The sequence below is a fragment of the Homo sapiens genome, chromosome 6 (assembly GCF_000001405.40).
Source record: "Homo sapiens chromosome 6, GRCh38.p14 Primary Assembly".
Taxonomy (NCBI): Eukaryota; Metazoa; Chordata; class Mammalia; order Primates; family Hominidae; genus Homo; species Homo sapiens.
This window is the reverse complement of record NC_000006.12, coordinates 97205536-97228217: the sequence shown is the minus strand read 5'-3', so window position 1 is coordinate 97228217 and position 22682 is coordinate 97205536. Positions and strand designations below refer to the sequence as shown.

The 22682-nt window shown below is 34.6% G+C and overlaps 1 protein-coding gene across 24 annotated transcripts in view; it reads left to right on the top strand.

Moving 5' to 3' along the window:
- The window catches only part of MMS22L (MMS22 like, DNA repair protein), a 141875-nt gene that overhangs the window by 55818 nt on the left and 63375 nt on the right, over positions 1 to 22682 (top strand). The window lies entirely within an intron of this gene.

The following is a 22682-nucleotide window of genomic DNA, read 5'->3' as shown; positions in this document are numbered from 1 at the left end:
TTATTACCCAGAGATACGTTACAGATATTCTGAGCAAGATCATGAGCTCATGTCTGAGGTGGCTTTTACTGAAGCATTTGTAATTTTGTGCCCATAAGGAAGTTTTGGTCACATTACACCATTTTTTAAAAGTGACTTTCTTTAAATTTTTGCAGCAAAGTCATAGCCTTAGCTGCATCAAATGCTTTGAAATAAACCAGTTTGCTCTGAAATTAACATAGATAATTCTATTAATAACACCAATCACCTATACAAAACTTACTGTTTTTCAGATCCACTTAAATTATGCAGATATGTTAAATACACTCAGACACAAACTTGATGTGGATAAGAACAATGGTTATGATATTTATTGCCTTTAGGCACTTTTCACATAGCAGTTTTACCTTTGAAGTACATGTTCTTAAGAAGTTAAATACTACCACTCAGTATGGTTACTCACTGTCACAGAAAATGATTGTATTTGAAATCATGTCCAAAGATAAACAGACTGCTTCCCTCCTCCTAATATCATATTACAAATGTTGCATCTGTTTTTCAGAGGTGCTAAGCTTGGCAAGATTTCCAAATTTTGGGAATTTATTTATTATCAAATTTATTTCTATTACTAGCTTGATTTTCTCTATTCTATGCCGTGTTTTCATGGCGGGTTTTATACTTCTTCCAAATGCCAACTTTGTTTTATTTCTTCAGTTTTTAAATAAATGTTAAGTGATTCCCTGTGCTTCTTGGGAAAATTAGAAATTTTTATGTTTCCAATATCAGTTTTGGTTTGTCTCTATATATCTGTCTGAATATACAAAACAAGAAGGAAGAGGAGGGTGTTGGTCTAAGCCATCCTGGTCATGGAGAACTATAGTCCCCAAAAGATGTCAGAGCATAGGAATAAGAAAGGAAGAAAGAGTATGGGCATCTTCAGAAGAGGCAGTCGTGGGGAAAAAAGTAGCAGAATCCATATATCTTTCTGCCTTTTCTGAAAATAGATAAGTCCTTTTTAATTCTTTTTAACAATTATATTGCTTCTTACATAGTTTTTTTTTTCCTCATAGGTTCGTATCCTACAAGTACTTTAAATTTAATGTGTTAATTAAAAATTTCTGGCAATCTTTTTGGTTTTTGTTAAAATTATCTTTATATTGTTTGTGTAATATATTATCATTTTACAAATGGGGGACAAAAGAGATATAAAGTGACAAGTAAATCTGTCTCCTCAGCTTCACTTCTTCATTCTCTAGTTCAGTAGTTCTCAACTGGGAGTGAGTTGTCCCCCAGGGAACATTTGGATGCCTGGAGACATTTTTGGTTGTCACAACTAGGGGGACAGCACTGGTGAGGTCAGAAATGCTGCTAAACACTCTACAGTGCTCAAGACAACTCCTACAACAAAGAATTATGTCGCCCATCTTCAGCAGTGCTAAGGTTGAGATACATTGCTCTAGTTCTAATCCATAGAAATAAAATTGTTTCTATAGAACCTTCCAGATATCTCCTTCCTACCTACATACATATATATACACACACTATATATGTATTTTTATATATATACATATATGTATAAAGAATGTATAAAGAATGTATAGGATATACACATATGTGTATATAGAATATATACATATATATTTTGAGACGGAGTTTCACTCTGTGCACCCGAGCTGGAGTGCAGTGGCGCCATCTCGGCTCACTGCAACCTCCGCCTCCTGGGCTCAAGCAATTCTCCTGCCTCAGCATCCTGAGTAGCTGGGATTACAGGCACACACTACCACGCACAGCTAATTTTTATGTTTTAATAGAAGCAGGATTTCACCATGTTGGCCAGGCTGGTCTCGAATTCCTGACCTCAGGTGATCCACCCGCCTCGGCCTCCCAAAATGCTGGGATTACAGGCATGAGCCACTGTGCCCAGCCGTATATTTAAAACACAAAATAGATGATCTTTGTTTTGCAAATTCCTTGTTTTATTTAATATTTCCTGAACAGCTTTTCATGTTAAAACATGAAAACCTACCTAATTCTGTTAAATGACTATTTACTGTCTCATTATATAGATGTGCCAAACTTTATCCAGTTGCTAATAATGGAAATGTGTATTGTTTACCAGTTTACGTTTATTTAACATCTTTGTAAATGTATTTCTGTGTACTTGTGGAAGTATACCTATAGATTAATTCTTAAGAATGAATTGGTGTATGTGCATTTTAAATGTGAATAGATGTTACCAAATTTCATACCAAAAAAACCCATTGTACCAGTTTTTACTCTCACTGATAATGTATGAAAAAGCTTCCATTCTCATTTTTAGATCATTGTATGGAGTGTATTTAGAAAAGCATTCTAAGATAAGAAATAAGGCTGGGCGTGGTGGCTTATGCCTATAATCCCAGCACTTTGGGAGGCCGAGGTGGGCGGATCACGAGGTCAGGAGATGAGACCATCCTGGCTAACAGGGTGAAACCCCGTCTCTACTACAAATACAAAAAATTAATCGGGCGTGGTGGCGGGTGCCTGTAGTCCCAGCTACTCGAGAGGCTGAGTCAGGAGAATGGCCTGAACCCGGGAGGCGGAGCTTGCAGTGAGCCGAGATCGTGCCACTGCACTCCAGCCTGTGTGACAGAGCGAGACTGGGTCTCAAAAGAAAAAAAAAAAAACTTCGAGACCAGCCTGGCCAACATGGTGAAACGCCGTCACTACTAAAAATACAAAAGTTATGGGCATGGTGGTGTGTGCCTGTAATCCCAGATACTCAGGAGGCTGAGGTAGGACAATTGCTTGAACCCGGGAGGTGGTGGTTGCAGTAAGCCGAGATCACGCCACTGCACGACTCCGTCTCAAAAAGAAAAAAAAAAAGGTAAGAAATGAAACACAGAAGTTTGTTAACAATGTCAGTTGAAGCTTGGTAATAGGCGTATTAGACTTAATTTGAAGGCTGGATAGACATTAAAAATACAAAGAAAGCAAAAAAGAGAGGAACTCTTTTCTCTATTTCACATTCATTCACCAACTTCATCTTATCTTGAATCTCCTAACTGGAACTTTTCTTGGTATGTAATTCTTTAAAAATAGTAACTAGAAACACAAGAATAATTCTTACATTCTTGAAAGAGTTAATGCTTATAAATACTGTCTTCTTTATTCTTTACTAATCCTGCCATCCCTATTTATAGGTGAAAAAAATGGAAACAGAGACTTTTTTGTGGCTCATCTAAAATAACACATTTAAATTTCAGAACTGGCACTCAGACTCTTAACCAACTATACCACAGCTGCCTTCTTACACTATATTTTTAATTAACTTACTTAATTTTCTTTTCTTTTTATTTTTACAGGTATAGAGGTTACAAGTGCAGTTTTGTTACATGCATATATTGTGTAGTGGTAAAATTTGGGCTTTTAGTGTAACCATCACCTGAATGGCTTATACAGTCTTTATAAGTTTACAGATAACTAAACCAAAACTAACCATACCACTACATTAAAAAAAAAAAAATTAGAGATGAATGAATGAAATCTGCAAACTTATTTGCAAACCTGAAATTATTACCACTATTTGTATAATTCTGAGTGCTTTTACATTTTGTTTTTGCTACAAAAAAAGGGGTAGTTGCTTATTGGGGACTTTTGATTACTTTCTTTTTATTTTGTAAGTTTTTTTTTTTTTTAAATGAGTCAGTTGGAAAAAATGATTTGAGAGGTGTGGAGACAAGTATATCACATTTTATTTATAATAATTTGTCTTTGATTTTTTTAGTACTATTCCAACCCTCTAAATTTCACTTCTTGCAATAAAAACAAATTTTTGCTCCTTAAATTCAATTTAGTAGAAATCCTTTAGCATTAAAGCCAAAGTTATTTCAGGAGTGTTAGAAAAATATTTCTTGCAAATATATTGTGAGTTATGATGTATCTGTTAGTCTGTGGGACACTATTCAGAAGTACAGAGGTAGAAATCAAAAAAGGATGATGAAGAATGACAATTATATAAAGTGAAGTTAAGTTTACATTGATAGGAAGAGTTTCTTGTAACTGCACCTGGATTCAATTTGTAGTTTGCTGTCCTCTGGAGTGTGAGTAGGTGATAGGGGGTTGTGCTATTGGCCTTCAGGATTAGCCTGTGCAAAAAGGATCAGATGTTTATGTTGATAACATTTGATTCCTTTCACAAATGTCTGTTTTGGTTTTGTCTTATGCTGTCAACTATGATTGAAAACAATTGCCATAAAAAACCCATCAAATCATGTTCAGCTTATATTGCCCAAATCAGCAGTTTTAACAGATACAAGTATAAGGTCAATGTATGAATAAAAATAGTGCAGCAATATGCAAGTCTTTATTAATGCTGTTGTATTTTAGGTACTAACATACTTTAGTAATTTGCAAACAGATTACTGTATGTAATAAAAGGAACTATGACTTGGATAGGTTCATTTTATCCCATCAGTTTTTAGCATTTCCAAGGCAAATATTATCAAGGCAGTCCAGCCTTTAGTTTGGGATTTATTGGAGATGGGCCCAAGAGATCATTCAGGATTGTTTACCTTAAAAATAAAGAAAGAAGGGAAGAAGAGTTGGACAGGAAACAAGAAAAAGTTATTTAGGTATTCAGTTATGGAGATGTATTCCTAATTTCTTAACCCCAAATCTGGAACTTCATTCAAGATTTTTTGATAGTAGTTTTTTAGATATGCCATATACTGTTAATACTATCGGGTCAAAAACATTTTGGATAGTTGTTAAAAATTAAAGCATAAGCTCGCCGCCCCCTTTAGTTAAGAGCAGAGCTAAGTTATTTGAATTTGGGTTTAGGTAAGGAAGATGGATTATATAGATTGATGATATTTATTCCTGGCTGCATCTCTGACAAGGGAAATAATGAAATACTTAAACCTTAGCCATCTCTTCTGTTTTCAAATTCAGGTGGGAATAGGTACCAGTCCTTGCAAAAATGTGTGTATAAAGTGTGTGCGTGTGTGTGTTGAACTGGGTAATAGTTTTACAACTGTATGACAGAGAAATTATAGGTAGGAAGGATCTATGATCACTGATTAAAGAGAAAAGCAGTTCCCTCTAGGCTGTTTAGGAATAATAACTTCATATGCTTCTTTCTGCTAACTGGAGCTGATGGCTCACCAGAGCATTCTTTATTGCTGATTAAGTAGCATTGTGAAAATACTGACTTGGTTATGTTAACTAAATGCCTATGTTTAAAACTTCGAATGTCAAATAGTTTTAGCAGTCATCTTTAACATTTCACATTACCTCTCTGGAATCACATTTTAAGTTCTCACTTGCTGTTATTTGAGGTTAATATAAAAATGGCAGTCTTTCATTTGTGGAGTTAGGTGTAGCCAAAAGCTTTCCTTTAATTATATCCATTCATGCTGCTATAGTTGAGGGTCTGTCAGCATTTCCATTATAAACCTCCATTTTCGGGGTTTTATAACACAGCTATGAAAATTAGCTCTGGGCAAAAACTTGACATACAAGGCCTCATGAGATTCTCCCTCCCTCCCCATCCCCCTTTTTCATTTTTACTGAAGTAAGGGTGAGTGATTTCAAAATGCCTTTTGGCATCTGAAAATACCATTTGGAGTTTAAAAAGAAACAATAAATTTTCAGGATTTGTACCTGTTTGTTCTACCACTTAAGGGAGGTTGTGGACTTATGAATTTAAGCCAAATAGATATTGATCAACTGACATCCTATTTTGTATTAAACAAGAGACTAGTTTCAAAGATGTCTAAAGGCAGTTGAGAACTTGCCTAAAATGCTAAATACTGAGACTAAGAAATAGTTCAGAAGCGATAATTACCTTTTTGAGATGCTGTGTGCTGAACTACAACTTCTTCAAAGATTAAGGTTATTTTCCCTGGCTTCAAAATACATTTTGAAAATATATATATATTTAAATTCCTTTTTTTCTCTCCCTATAAGGCTAGAAGATCATCTGCTTGTTTTATAACTGTTTTGACATTTGAAGTGTTTGTGTATGAGCATGTAGAGAAAAACTGTTTATTATTCTCTTCAAATATTTTTATGCTCAGTAGTTTTATTGGTATGGTATTATTTATTCTCCCCAAAGATTTTTGGTTTTTCTTTGCTTCTGTAAGAGAACTGGGGATTGCCTAGGCAAAAAAGGAGGTACAAGAGGAACTGTTCACTTGAGGGGCTGCTGTATGCCAAATAATTTATATAATATTTCAGGAAAAATAGAAATGATACTTTTGACAGCATGCAAGCTTTTTCTTCCTTTTGTTATTGGGTGTTCTATTAGTATGAATGGGTTACAGCTTTTAATTATTGACAGTTTACAACAAACAAATTTGAAACTGGATAGAATTTTTAATCAAATGAGTTATTTCTGTAGTTTGCTCAAAATGTCTGCTCTTTCATTATATATAATTTTATGGAAATTTTGAGGCAGTGTTCTAATAATTTTTGGGAAACACATGTGTATGCCCTCATGGTAATAAAATCTATTACCAGTTTTTATTTGAAAAACCAAGTAGAGATATTGTTGCTTACAAGGAGTAATCCATTGCCTTTTTTCGTTCCTTCAGAGAAAGCATGGGTATCTCTAAGGGAATACAGTATAAATCTTAGTATTTCAGGAATGTATAAAATATGTAAAGAAAAACTTTTTTTCCTAGTTAAATATTTTTTATATCTTTCAGCTGAGTATTTAGATATATACTATAAATTAGTATTTTCACCTTATTTACTCTTTATCAGGCTTGAATTTGGCATAATGTATTTCTATTACATATTTTATAATCCCATGCAGTAATATAAACTACTCAATATATTAGCTTTGCAGAGTTCCACTTTTTTGTGTTTTGCTGAAACATAGATTATCTCCTCAGTTTTTCACGCATAGGAATTAGTATTTGGGTCACTTTTTCAGTCCCTATCTAAATCCGGTACATAGATACGAGTTTTCCTTAAATAAGTATAAAGCGATTCATTTAAAATAATGTGAGGAAAAACTTATGTGCCAAAATCTTGACTTACTTATTTGTAAAATGAGGATAATACCACCTACCTCACTAGAATGTTTTGGGAATTATATGCAATAATGAATATAAGGCAGTTAGCAAATTGCCTGGCATATCAGTAAGTGTTCAATGAATGTTAGATAATGCTATCATCATAAGTATTGTTTTCAAAAGAACTCATAATCATTTCTTCGTTATGCTTTATGCCTGGCAACATCAATGGACGTGTGTGTGTGTGTGTGTGTGTGTGTGTGTGTGTGTGTGTGTGTGTCAGGGGTCTTATCTTGGATGGTTTTTTTACCCATTCTTAATATAATACTTCTAGCATAGTGACCATTGAGCAAGTTTTGTTGTTGTTGTTGTTGTTTTAGTGTGTAATGAATCGTTTTCTTTAAAAACAAAGAATTGTAGGAAACAACATTGCCTCACTGCAGTGGACCCATTGGAAATTGTAATGCTATGTTACTGAGTGCTGCTGTAGAAAAAGTAATTTTTAAAGGTACAAATGTGACATATATGTATACCCTTTCTTTTTATAATCAGCTGATTCTTTTGGTAAGGTGGGGAGCGTGTGTCTTCTTTGGTGAATTCCTTTTATCTTCTTTCTTTTATTCTCACAGATGTCATTACCTCTGTTTTTAAAACATTAATACTACTTGCCTAATCACCCTGCCTCCAATGCCTTCCTTCCTCAGATTATCTTTTTTAATGGCTTTATTGACATATAATTCACATATCATAGAGTTTGCTAGCTTTATTCAGATATAATTCACACACCATACAATTTATTGGTTTTTAGTATATTCATAGTTGTTTTGTACCCATCACCACTATTTTAGAACATTTCATTACATTAAAAAGAAACTTTTAGTGACACTCTAATAGACACAGTAGAAAATTTCACATTTCTTATCATGGTCTTTAAAGCCATCCACAGTCTTCTTTTACCTTAATCTGTAACTTTTTCTTGTGATTCTCCTTTAGTCAGATGGAGCTACTAGTTCTCAAGAAATCCCCAAGTCTTTCTACCTTTATTTATATCTTCTTGTCCAACGAAGTTGAGGGTCAAAGTTGACAAGTTTGACCTCTTGTCAAAACCAATTGAGGGTTCAGGCCAGAACATGACCAGTATAGCAGAGCTGAAGCTGAGGACTGAATAAGCATGTCATGTGAGAGTCACTGCTTAGAAAAAGGTTAAGTTGGGGGAATGGAAGTAATTGTCAAAATCAAGAGTCAGAAGTGGTCAGTGTTGGTAATAGTAGACATAGGGGTGAGATGGCAGAGTATAGAAAAAGAAAAAACTAGAGGTATTTGAGGAGAATGGAAAGTGTTTTCAGAAGTTAGTAGTATGTTGATGAGAGGTAGAGATGGAATTAAAGAGCATCATATATGGGAGGAGCCAGTATTCCAGGCAGGAGACTTATGCACACAGCAAGTTTTGCTTTTTGCCTTTGCTTCTTAAGGAACCTCTAGTAGTGCCTGATAGTTGCTGCTGTCAAAACATTGTATTAAAAAGCAGGAGCTTTAAGGTCAGTAAACCTGAGTTCAGATCACCCTCTTTCATTTACCAACAGTGCAATCTTAGGAAGTTACTTAATCTTTTCTAAGTTTCAGCTGCATCTTTGTAAAATAATATCCACCTCATAGGATTTCCATGAACATCTGCTTAGATTTCTGCTGTCCAGTAGGGTAGCACTAGCTATGTGTGACAGTTTAAATTAGTGAATATAAAATAAAAAATTCAACTGTTCTGTAACACCAGCTATATATTAAGTCCTCAATAGCTATATTTAGTTAGTGGATAATGTAGTGGATAGCAGCAGAAAGACTTGCCAAGGGATAGCACTGACTTTGATGCTGCACCTGTCCAGAACATGAATCATAATAAGCTTTCAGTACATTCAATACATGTTGGTTTTCTTCATTTATCTTTTCTTCATTTTTTTGTGAATAATATTCATGTCAAGAAGCTTCATGTCAAGCTTCTCTTGAAATGCATGCTTGTACATTTCAAGAGAAATGTATGCTTATCCGTGTGTTACCAGTTGATATGGTTTGGCTCTGTGTCCCCACTCAAATCTTATCTCAAATTGTAATCCCCACGTGTCGAGGGAGAGACCTATAATCCTCCATGTGTCAATGGACAGAGGTGATTGGATCATGGGGGTGGTTCCCACATGCTGTTCTTGTAGTATTGAGTGAGTTCTCACGAGATCTGATGGTTTTATAAGCATCTGGCATTTTCCCTGCTAGCAGCTCTTCCTCCTGCTGTCATGTGAAGATTTCTGCTGTCCAGTAGGGTAGCACTAGCTATGTGTGACAGTTTAAATTAGTGAATATAAAATAAAAAATTCAATTCAGGGGTCCTTGCTTCCCCTTCACCTTCCTCCATGATTTTGGGTTCCCTGAGGCCTCTCTGGCCATGGGGAACTATGAGTCAATTAAACCTCTTTTCTTTATAAATTACCCAGTCTAGGGTGTTTATGGCAGTGTGAGAACCGACTAATACACCAGTCTTGAATAATCTCTATTCCTGTTGAATTTCCTGAATAGTTACTAAATCTCTAATGTCCTTTATTGTTTTTTACCTTGTGTTGTAATTATTTTCTAAAGGGGAGACATATTCATGAAAAACAATTTATTCAACAAATTTAACTAGTATTTTTGAATGCCTACTATGATAGTAGGCACTTAGGATATATCAGTGAACCAGTCACATGAAGCATATGTAGTATGCACTCATGTATTTTTTACATGAAAGACTAAGATGGTAGAGAGGAAGGACAAAGAAACTTGTATTTATTTAAACCATCACTTTTTCACCATTTCATACTACTTGCTAATGGTTTATACTTGTCCTGAAATTTTATATGCTTATCCAACAATTCTTGCCAGTGTCCATATGCAAGCAGACAACAGTATCCATGCAGTCAGGATATGGATTTAATGCATAATCTGAATTTCATCTCTGTGTTTATTGTCTTCTAAGTACCCATGGGTAGAAGGGACCTCTAGAGGATGATAGGAGGTTTGTTCTTCCCAGTTGAAAGGTTTTCGGTGTTATTGAAAAATTCAGTGTGTTTTCCTTAGTATTTTCTGGATGACTATTATTATTTTATCTTTCTAATTCACTAGTTATCATTGAATTTTTTCCACTGAACTATGGAAACAGGTGCAGCAAGTGGGTCCTTTGAGCCTTTACCTTCCTTTTGAGACATTTCGGAACCAGTCTCTCAAGGCTGGGTCTGCAGGAACACTTTGAATCTACAAGTGCAGATTGTCTGTATTGGGATTAGAGTGGAAGGAAGGCATTTGGAAGAGGGAACTTAGAAAATGGAATGAAGGAAATAATCAATAAAACAATTTAAGAAAATTTCTCAGAACCGAAGATTCTGTAATGAAAGGGCCTATTGAGTGACTCCAGCACAACATAAGAAAATAGAATCACAGCAGGGTCCATCTGTGAGAAATTCAAAATACTAGCTACAAAGAAAAGATATCAAAGCTTTCACAAACGTTCCTCACCCTTGTTAGTCTTCTGGTTTTTTATTTGCTATGCCCCTGATTATAATCTGTAGTTGTAATCTAGGTCAGAGCTGATATTTAACCCCAGTTCCTAATAATTATATAATTAACGTGGGAGGTGAATGAAGCTTTATAATTAGATTTTATTTGGCTGGGTGCAGTGGCTCACACCTGTAATCCTAGCACTTTGGGAGTCTGAGGCAGGCAGATCACCTGAGGTCAGGAGTTTGAGACCAGCCTGGCCGACACGGCGAAACCCCACCTCTACTAAAAATACAAAAAATTAGCTGGGCGTGGTGGTGGGCACCTGTAATCCCAGCTACTCAAGGGCTGAGGAGGCTGAGGCAGGAGAATCGCTTGAACCTGGGAGGTGGAGACTTCAGTGAGCCGAGAATGCGCCATTGCACTCCAGCCTGAGCAACAAGAGTGAAACTCCGCCTCAAAAAAATAAATAAATAATGAATTAAAAATAAAAATATATTAGATTTTTTACAAGATTACTCCTACTTTCAAGAAGCATAGAATAGAATAGAGCTTTATGATTTCTGATTTATAGTTATTACCAAAATTTGAAGTTACCAGTAATATGATTTTTCTAGGATGAAACCCAGAAAATTGTCTTCTCATAATTACAGAGGAAAAAGAGAAAACATAAGGGTGGAGAAAGAACACTGTAAAACAGAAACTAGAGTGAAGAACATTGGATAAAAGGAGAAGGAAAAAATAAATATACTCTGTAAAGAAAGCATTTCATTCCTTTGAAAGTGGATCAATTCAGTTGTTTAGGGAATAGAAGTGCCATGATTATTTTTCTTTACCAGCCACTGGAATATTTCTCTTTAGCAAATGGCAATAAATCAAAAGATGATGGGATGAGGCAAAAGCTACTTTTCCCAATCTTATTTATGTCACTGTGATTCCTAGTCTGAACCCTGTGGTTCACTATAGGTGTTTAGACCACCCAGATCTTTGAAGCTTTAGATGAAATTCAGCAATGAGTTTGTAGGAAGACATCACTACTGTGCTCTTTCATGGCACCACACGGTGCTGTTTCTTAAACCAAAGACAGGCTGTCATAGTAAGTATATTGAAGACTGGTAAATCCCATTCGTGACAGATTGGTTAAAGTTAACTCTTCTCTGACTATGGAATAGGTTAAAAACACCTAAAATTGTGACTTTGGTACATTGACCTAGTTTAAAAAAACTCAGTATGATAAACTGGCATTGTGGCTTTTGGTTATAAAAGGGAAGTACTTGGGAAGCAAGTAAAATTTCAGCATTTACATTCAATAAATGCACTAGAATAAGCTACCAGACTTTTTTTTTTAATGATGTAATATGACAGTGAGGGAAGGAAACCAATCTTAATTATTCCTGTAATTAATTACTTTTGGATTAATAAAACCTCAGAAGGCACTATAAATTGTGGAGAAAATAGATTCATTATAGTTTTAAAATACTTCTAGCTATTCTCACCATCTTACTGTTACCCTAAAGCTATTTTCTTTAAGATGTGTTTTGTAGAAAACATCAGAGTACATGTTTAATGATATGAATTTACTGTTGCCACCATATTGTTTATGGGAAGCAGTTCTTAGCTTTCTTCATCCGCCTTGTGGAAAAAGGTGAGTAACTGCTGTTTGAAATTTTATTTATATTTTAAAGAAATTGAGGACAAACAAGGAGTGAAACTAGCATTTGAAACTCTTAATTTCAATTGTTTCTTCTTTACCTTACAAGATATATATTTTTCTCTCTTTAGGGTATCTCTTGTCAGATTTAAGGCTTATTTAAAATGAAAAGAAAGCTGGAGCAATTTTCTTTATTCCATTTCAGTCTCCTAAGGCCTATTTCCCCCTGGTGAGCTCATAGCAACAGGGGGGTTTAAGGGAATTCAGCTTTCTGCAAATTAATGTCTCACATCATGAAAATTCAGGACTTTTTTTTTTATCTTGAAAAGTAATACAGTGAGTGCGAGTATTATTTCTTGCCAGCGGGTGGAAGATGAATGATTTTGTCACAGTTTTACTGCTTGATGAGCAGTGTCCTGAGGGTCAGGCTTAAGTCTGTGTCACTATGCTGCTCATTACTCTTGAGCTAAATAAGGGCTGATTGGATCTAAATTGCCTAGCACATGGGCCACAGATGAGCTCAGTGAGCAGGGGATGACCTGCTATTCAGTCTGGGAGTAACCCCGGTGTGCAAATGCAGCATTAGAACACTGTGGGAGAATGAGAGGCTACCGGCTGCTGCCAGCAAAAGAAATCGAAATGTAAAAACTCTTTGATGCTGTGATGTTAGAATTTGAAATGTAGGAAGTGACAGGTTGATGGTACTTATCAGCTTTGGCTGGATTAGAGAACAGTGTCATCTTGCTTATATAATGACAGAAGAATGAAGTCAGCAGCTAACTACTGTGCAGAGCAGAGCCGCTGCTGTTGCCACAGCCAGTCATTGCTGCCTCCTACTGGCAGTTTTCCTGGAAACTAGTAAAATATTATAAAGAAAAAATCCTCCTTGTTGGTTTCAAGGAATCTTGAGCTCTTTGGTGGTGAACAGCCGCTAGTGAAACAATGCAAAAAAAAAATATATATATATATATATATATATTTAAAACATGATTAATTGTGAAAAAAATCAGAAATTGGGAAGTTGATTGTTCTAGAATTTTCTAGTGAACCAAGGATTAATCCATTTATGAAGTGAAACTCCCAGGGCAAGAAACCTTGTACACCCTTCCTGGAATAGTATTCTTTCAGGGGGCCTCAACTGGGTTGGTTGATCTCTTAATTACGTATTTTTTTCATCATCAGTAACAGGACTGTGCAAACAACTAATCTTTAAAATCCAGAAACCACAGTGTTAGCACAGTTTGAAAGGCAGCTGATAAAAATATAAAGTAAAAAATGCCCCGATTATGTGGCTTATGCTGCATAAATCTCTCTCTTAAGGAGGAGGTGGGATGGAAGAAAAATGTTTCTCCTATAAGTCAAATGATTTGAAAAAAAAAAAAAAACAAAAAAAATAGTAAAATCTTATGATATAAGATCTCTTTGTTTCATTTTACTCCTACAGCTGTAATTTTTTAAGAAATCAATATTAGGCTGCTATTATATATATTTCTGGTGTTAAACTTAGAAAATGTAGATGGATTTTTTAAAAAGTTATTTAACTCACCATGCTGAGAGAACTACTATTGATATTTTGTTGTATTCTTCTACACATTACTATTCATATACTTTTTTAAAACCAAAAATAAGATTAAATGCTGTTTAGTGGGCTGGCTTCTTCGCTTACTATATCATCAACAACTTTCCATATTGATGACATCTACATTATTATTGGTGTTCATTGTGTAGATATACCATAATATTCCATGGTGTGGATTAACTATTTCTTATTTGTGAAAACTTCTGCTATTTTGAATTTTTCACCATTAGATACAAGGCTGTGGGGAATGTGCTCCTGTGTGTCTTGGCAGGGCTCTTGGGTATTGTACAAATTGTGTGCTGCATAACCTCAAGGGTACCATTCACAGCAGTGTAAATGAGGCTTTGATCTTCATAGACTTGTTTGATTATGTGTAGAAGGTATTTTTTTTAATGATTTGATTTAAAAAATAGAACCTTAGATGTAATTCTTAAAAATGAATGGGAGCCATAGCGTATGTTCAAGATCCAATTACATATATCCAACAGATGCAAATTTTTAACTAGTTGAAAAACCTTAGACTAGAAAATTTTTTTTTAACTTTTTCCAGATTTTTAAAACAAAGCTGTAGTTCTGTAGATGGAAAAACAGATAGGAGGCTTCTAGAGCCTGTGGTGAAATGATAGGTAAAAGGATTAATAAATTAACTTTTATTTTCCAGTATTAGTATTTTTTCTATGCTTGTTAGTATAGGTACCCCACTATTTCTCTAAGCCTTTTTTCTTACTATTAATATCAAATATCAAATAACATTTTCAGTGTAATTTCTGAAGCAGTTGAAGGCTCTAGAGAGTTTTTAATGCCTCTCTTTTACATTTTTATATTATCAAATTTATGTATCTTGCAAAGAATGTAAATAATACAGAATTATATGTAGTAGAAGATGAAACTCATTCTTTTCCTAAACCCTACCCTTCGTCTGCAAAGGGAGCCACTATGAACACTTTGGAGAATATTTTTCCCAGCTGCTATTGCTTCTCCTTTTATCTACACTGCCTCCTTTACCACCTGTTTTATTTTGAAGGGTGGGGGGACAAAAGTGGGATTATACTATGGAAATTTCTACAACCTCTTTCTTTTTTTTTGAGGTGGAGTTTTGCTCTTGTTGCCCAGGCTGGAGTACAATGGCGTGATCTTGGCTCACCACAGCCTCCACCTCCTGTGTTCAAGTGATTCTCCTGCCTCAGCCTCCTGAGTAGCTGGGACCACAGGCATGCGCCATCATGCCTGGCTAATTTTGTATTTTTAGTAGAGATGGGGTTTTTCCATGTTGGTCAGGCTGGTCTTGAACTCCCGACCTCAGATGATCTGCCCACCTTGGCCTCCCAAAGTGCTGGGATTACAGGCGTGAGCCACCATGCCTGGCTGCAACCTCATTTTCTTCACAGAAAAAAATATCAAAGACATGTTACTCTGTCTACAGACACACACACACGCACACACACACACAATGTGCTCATGCACTGTTTAAAACTGTGTAATATCTCAAACTTCATGTATATAAATCAAACGACATTTAACCCAGTGAATGTTTAGGAACTGTACATAGTTTTTAGTTGGCTTGGCTCTTGTTTCCAAGATCCTAGTTGCTTAAAAATTTGATTTGCTTAGCTTATCTAACTGGGATATTCACTGTATTTCAATTTTGTGGGTCATTAATATATCCATTGTCAAAACCATTCGAGCAAATTTTCACTTCAGTCATTTCGTATGTGTGAATCATACATAGAATAGTCTTTTGCTTATAGTAAAAAAAAATTACTGTATTTTTCAAAATGTTACAAATGTGAATTTGAATCCTGACTCTGCTCTTTCACTGTAGTCTTCAACAAGTCTTGTCACTTCTTTGAACCTCAGTCTTTCTGACCTGTAAAATGTGTATAATGATACGTATTGAAGAGCTGATTTGGAGAATAAAAAAGGTAATATATGTCATGTCTAACAGAGTACCTAGCGGTGATTGCTTTTATAATCATTACTGTGTGTTGGTTTCAGAGAAGTAAAGTGAGAGAATGGTTTATTAGACAGAGTTTTCCATTCTAAATTAAGATTTTTTAGGGCTCCATTCTGAATCAGTACAATGATAGGTATTCCATGAAAAGAATACTATTTATGCTTTAAGTACATAAATTGCTTTCTTGGTCACATCTCTGTCCCCTTTTATTTTTCTTATGTCTTTGGAGAAAATTCTGCTGTATTAATTTTGTGCTTATGCATGAAACAGAAATGTCTGTATTTTCCAGCCAGTACACTTATTGAGTGCCCATCAAGTACCTGCCATGACAGACTTTGTGCTGGTATTGGAGAAAGTAGAGATGCATAAAATCAGAATGCTGCTCTTAAGTGCCCCACAGTGTAGTGAGGTAGACATATAAACAAATAAATGAAATACACTGTGATGGATAGAATAATAGACAGATGTTGGAGACTTTTCTTAAAACTTCCATGTCACTTACAGAATTTTCTCTGAGATTGCCCTACATAAAATAAAGCATGTGATTAGATTATGTGGCAGTAAGTCAGCTACACTATGTCATATAGATGATAGGTGGCAAATATTAGAAGGGAGGAATTTTAAGTCTTTAGAAGTTTGTGTTTATTTAGATAGCAGTTCAAAAGTTTTTAAAGTTTTTCCTGACATCTTTCACACATTCCATTAATAATAAAAATAATTAACTTTGCTACTTGTACACATATTTAAGGTCTTGAGTGAATTGTTATTATAGCACTGTGTTATTGATACACTTTGCCGCATTTCTTTCTTCTGACATCTACTTTTCTACTTCTGACATTAGGTGTCAGAGAATGGGAATAGAAGAAAAATAGATGTCAGAAGAATATTTTAATATGAAAAAATAGATTCTAAAACCAATGTAGTATTGCTTTGTGCATTTTAAAAAGTTTATGTACATGCTAACAACACGGATGCTACATAGAGCTGTGCAACTTCCTTTTTTTCTAATGCATTACACTTTTGAGGTATACTACTAGAAGATGAAGATTTTACATTAGGGAAATGAAAGATTAAGTCAAGAAGAAGAAATCTTTTGATATGTTTGCTTTGAAAAGCCTATAACACAGAATGTGGATTGTTCTGATACCCTCTTATTAAGTAATCTATTTTTTCTTTTAATATTAATTTGCCACAAAATTGTATTAAATACATCAATCTTCTATACATTACGTATGTTGCAAATATATTGGCCCCACTTGAAATTTGCATTTTATGTATTTTTTTGGATGTGTAAAAGTTTTAAGGGATTTTTATATATAAATGTCATAATCTTAAAAAATTATATACACACACACAAAAGTAAACAGCTAACAGTTTTTTAATTGTGGTTTCCTAAGAGGAATTCCAATGTAATTCAGCAAATGTTTTTTGAATGCTTCTGTGTCCCAGAACTGTGCTAGTAAGTACTCTTGTGTACATGAAAATGTTCCTGCACTTGTAGAGCTTATAGTATAGTAGAAAGCATTTATACTATCATGCCATTTAATGCCACCAAGTTTTTATGTCTCCATGGTCATTCCTTTTTAAATTCTGAAATGGTTGGACCATTAATTTGATACAAAATATGGAATCTCTTACATTCTGCAGACTACTCATGGAAGATGGTAAGTGGCCTCTGGAATATAAGAAATTACATATATTAGGTTGAATTAATGGTCCAGCTATTTCAGAATTATATTACAGTAGAAGTTTTGTGAGAACGTGTAACCAAAATATCCCTTGTTTCCCAGAAGGCAAGTGTATTTTGCCTAATTTAGAGATTCAACACAGTTCAGTCTTTCCATGATTTCTATATGGACTAATACAACACAGTTCAATCTTTCCATGATTTCTATATAGACTAATACAGTCATGTCTTGTCTTTTGGTATGCTGTTCTGAATTTGTCATTTAGAATGTACTAGTGGGCACCAGGAACTTGAATAACTTAAATATATGAACTTGTTTACATGTTGGACAGATGTATTTATTCTCATTGGAATAATGATTGTGGGAGAATGAGTCAGATTAAATTTCATATACATAAATGAATCTTTTCTCTTACTGTTTTTTATGGCATTTATTTTGGAAACCCTGAAGTTAGAGAATCCTTTCTTCACCCTGTTGTCTGCTTTAGTTCTTTTCTTTATGTTTAATACAAAGATTCAAAGTGAAGGGGATAGGTTAAAATTGATACCTGATTCTGTTCACTTATTATCTTGCATATTAAGCACTTTTTATATCTCCTTGGTTATTCATTAATACAGTATCTACATTTATTTTAGGAGCAAGAACTACTGGTTTAAGGATATATAAGATTTTTAGGAAAAAGCAAAAGGTTGGATATGAAGTGATGGAAAGAGCCTTTTGTACCTAATTCAGCTCTAACTCTGGGACCTCAGGCAGGTCCCCATATTTTATTTCTTTCATCTGAAGGATAAAGGATTGGATTAGATTACTTTAGTGTTTCTAATTATATCAATTATATATTGAATATTTTAACATTTTTAAGCAAATTTGCTTTTCTCTTTAAAGTTGATATAGGAAATGGAAATGTGATTTACACTGCCAGCACGATTAAATTAAATTTTACTAAATTACCATTATTTAGTTTTCTGCTTATATAGAGCTGCTTTTTCTCACTTTATGTAGCATGCATAAAATAAAATTACAAAAAAAGAATGACATAGGAAAGACTTTTCTTAAGCATCAATTTATAGTGCTACAAATATTATCAAATATTTACTTTGAGTGATTTTTAGATATGTATTAGTTAAATAATTTAGTCAAAAAATACTGAGATAGCTGTGTTATTCAAGAAATCTTTTTCGATAGAGACATAATAACTATGTCATAGTTGATTACTAAACAGCATATTTGCTTAGGGCCTTTTGTATGTCAGAGACCTTAAGCAGTTTGAGTTCTCATTATCTTTTGCTTTGGGTTGAGGAGAGATTTGAAGAGAAAATTACTAATAAATTGGTTGTAATTGTAGATAGCTTGAGGTCAGTGAAGGTAGAAGAGTACCCAGGCAAGTATTTCTTGGGTGCTTTGTATGGACTTACTCTCTTACCGGTACTAGATAGGATATGAGAAAAGCACAAGATATTCTCTAGTTGGAGTATATGATAGCACACAGAATATTAAAAAGTAGTAGTGGGATACTGTAGTAATTCAGTAACGCTTTTGAGTGCTATTAGTGCAAAATGCTTTTTGGTTTGTGTGCAAAAATAAGGATTAGATTCTGTTCTTGGGGAAATTATTTTTTAGTAAACCGTACATGTGTATAACTAGTGTAAAGTGAAAATTAATGAGTAATGAACACTTGAAGATATTTGGGGGATTCATCAGTAGGAGAAGGAAGAAAAAGGGTGGAAAGAAAGGATTAGGAAAGATATTTTGAAATAGATGGCCTTTGAACTGGGTATTCAAGAAGTAGGATTTATACCTGTGATAAGGAAGGAGGAGGGGTAGGGAGAGCCTCTTGAAAGAGGTTGGATGTGAGTGGCAATTACCTAAGTTGTTGAAGAAGAGAAGTGAGGAAAAAAATGCTAAAACAGGAGAGTGACTTAAGAACTGGAAGTTGGGACGGGTTAAATGTTTTTTAGGTAGCGATACAAACTAGTCTGATGAATGCAGAGGATACATGCTCCAGTAGAAAGTTATACCAGATTATGAAGGACTTTGAAGTTAGGGCCAGAGTGTAGACCTGGGTGAGGAGGAAATCAAAGACTATAGGTTTTAAGTAGAGGGGTGTGATGAGAGCAGTTCTTTATACCCTTCATATGCTGTTCTGTCTCCCTGAATCATAAGATCCTTGACAGAAAGACCTTACCTGTTTCTTTCCCTTAATCCGTCTGCTTGAAATGCTCCTTGATTTCTTTTCTGCCTGGAAAGTTTATTTCCTTTCGGGTGTAAGTGAAATATACAGTTTCCCCTATTAAGGGTTTCCAGGTTCCCCAAGAGGCAAGTGTTGTCCTTCTTGTTTGCCCTGTTCATATTTGTATCACCCAGAACATTTACCACTTGAAATATCTCCTTCACTAGACTGATACTTATTGAGGGCCGGGAATTTGTCTTATTCATAATTATAACTTCAGCACTTAGGTATCCAGCTAAAAGTGCATGACGTGTCTGTTGAATGGTGATTATATAGATGGTTCTGGCAGTAATATGCCCAATGAATTGAAAGAGAACTTTAAGCAAACTTTAAGCAAGGAAACTAGGTAGGAAATCATTGTGGTAATAAAGGCTAATAATACAAAAATGCCAAAGTAATTTTTAAAAATACATAAAGGTAGGAGAGTACATTAGTTTTGAAGTCATGACTGGGATTGAGTGATAAAGGGAATAAAGGAAAGGAATGATCTGATGACTCAGGTTGGTCCTGTATGTAGTCAGGCAATAATATTTAACCAACATTTTCAGTAATTAGGAAATTTTAGGAATTATGACTTAGACAAACCTAATAGCTTCTTATACTTAAATACATCTTTTACTTATGTTTAACTACTGATAAAATGTTTCACTGTTCCTGTGGTCCAAGATTTCTCTCATTGGTGCTCTTGACCTTATCACCCTAAGGATATCAAAACACTTTAATATCATCTCATTTTTTCTTCAGTTTCAGCCATATAAATGCAGAGGTTGGAAATTTTCAATGATTTCCATATGCCTGTATAGTTCTTTTCATGTGTAATGTTAAGAGATTTTGGAGGGGATAGTCCAAATATGAGACATACCTCTTAATTGTACTCCTTCAGCAAGTTGACTATGTATTTGTTGTCTCTTCAGTTAAGAGAAGGTCTTATTTTTTCTGAACAGGGTTAATTAAGCCTTAGTGCAGTGCTTGGTACACAGAGATCTGACTTAGAATCTTCCTGTGACTGGAAGACTGGTGTGACCACAGTATTTCCCCTGACCAAAGAGAGAGGAGAGCCTCAAGTGAGCCCTTGCTTTACAGCTTCTGAGAGTTCCCTTTTGAAATAGGGTGATGACCTTTAACAGATGGTTACATTTATGTGATAATTTTTTTTAAAGCAAATAGTTGTAATGAAATTATGTTTTTAGGCCAGAAATATATCTTAATTCCTATGACTTACATGTTTTGTACATTGAAGTATAACACACAGCATTAGGCCAGAGACTTCTGTTCCCTATTTCATATACAAACACAATTGACCAGAGGAGCACTTGATTCCTTCAATTATTGCCCTCTGAATCCAGGAGTGATATGGAGCAAACTAATCAGAAGCAAACTTGATAGAATCATTTGCTCTGCTATAATTTACTTACAACTCTGGAAAACTCAATTATGGAAAAATGAGTGGAACATTAAAATCTTTTTGAGAAAGAGTTTACCACAAAGTTGTATTGCCTATATATTTAAAATAGAGAATTCTCACGAACATTTTAGTTTTTTGACTGTAGCTTAAAGTGCTGAAGTTTCACTACATTAAAAAGTATTATAATTTTAAAGATATTATATGATTAATTTGGCCTTTACTTGTCTTTAACTTAGGGTTAGGTTATATTTTATTTCAGTTAATGATGGGAAAGAAAGAGCTCCAAGGTAGTGTTAACATAACTTAAAACTTTTAAATTGCCACTATATTAAATCATTAAAAACAGTAATTTTAGATAACTGTTATTCTACCTAAAATCTAAACATTGGACAGTACTTAGTTTTATGCCAACTTTGTACTGAGTAAATTTGATATGGTCCTTATGATGGGCGTTTAGTGTCTCTTTTAGCCATGTTTAGATGGTATTGAAAATTTGTATTCTGCCTTTCTTTTTACCCCTTTCAAAAAACATCTTAGAGACTTTCTTTTTAACAAAAAAGTCTTTCCCCACTTCTCCAAGTGTACTTTTGATAGGTATATTGTTTGACTGTTAGGACAAGAATTATGATAGATACAAACACCATTGAATTTCTTTGTTTTCTGTAGGATAAGAATATAAGAACATAAAACAGAATTTTGTTTTATTATATAGTTCATTATAAAAAGCATGTTAATTTAGTGCTTATATTGAAGTTTTTAAATTTAATGTGAGACATGTTTTCCTTTAATTTTACTGAAGGTCTAGTGTGTGTGTGTGTGTGTGTGTGTGTGTACATGCGAGGTTCAGGAGAAATCAGTTTTGAATATTCTCCAGCAGCCTTTTTTTTTTTTCCTTGTTAAATGTGTGCTATAAATTGTGCTTCTTGAAAGAGGTAGGAAGGAATGTGGAAAAGGAAAGTAGAGAAATTAAAAATCATTTCAATAAAATGCTTTAATTTATGCCTCTGCAGTTAAGCAGTGCTCCTGGTTAACAGAAATACCCTTCAGCTACACAGGATTTTGGAGGGTTGGAGGGCACTCATTTGCACATAAATAGCCATTAACTGATAAATTCCCAGAGGTCTCCTGTTGCATGTTAGTGGTTCTGACCTACTTAGCTAGCTGGAATTTGTTTTACAGAATTATTATAATTCTATCCTTGGTGCTTAAACTTTGTGATTAATGCATGCCTCACAATACAATTAAAGTATAATTACACAGTTTTGCAGTTTCCTATTGTGGAGTTATTATTACAAAGATCTGGATTTTGCAAATAGAAGAGTTACGGTTTCCATATTTCTCACTTTTGCTGTTATTAGGTGATTATCTTAAATGGGACCATTTTATGTCTGAAGAAGGGATTGGAGGGAAGGTGAATCATTATTAAATGTAGCATTTGTTAGCTTGGAAATGATTGGGTCAGCTAATGTGTGGTCATTTTTGCATGCTGTCTGCATTGACGTGTCACAGGCATTCTTAAAACTGTTTTGTGCTTTTCATTGTTGCTTTTTCAAGTGTTTCTGAATTATAGTAGAATCTTCACACCATTTTCTAAGAAAAGTAGTGTTGGGTTAAATGTTAGGAAACAGTAGAGAGACACAGTGGGTCTCAGGAGATCTAAATTCTGATGCTGACACTTG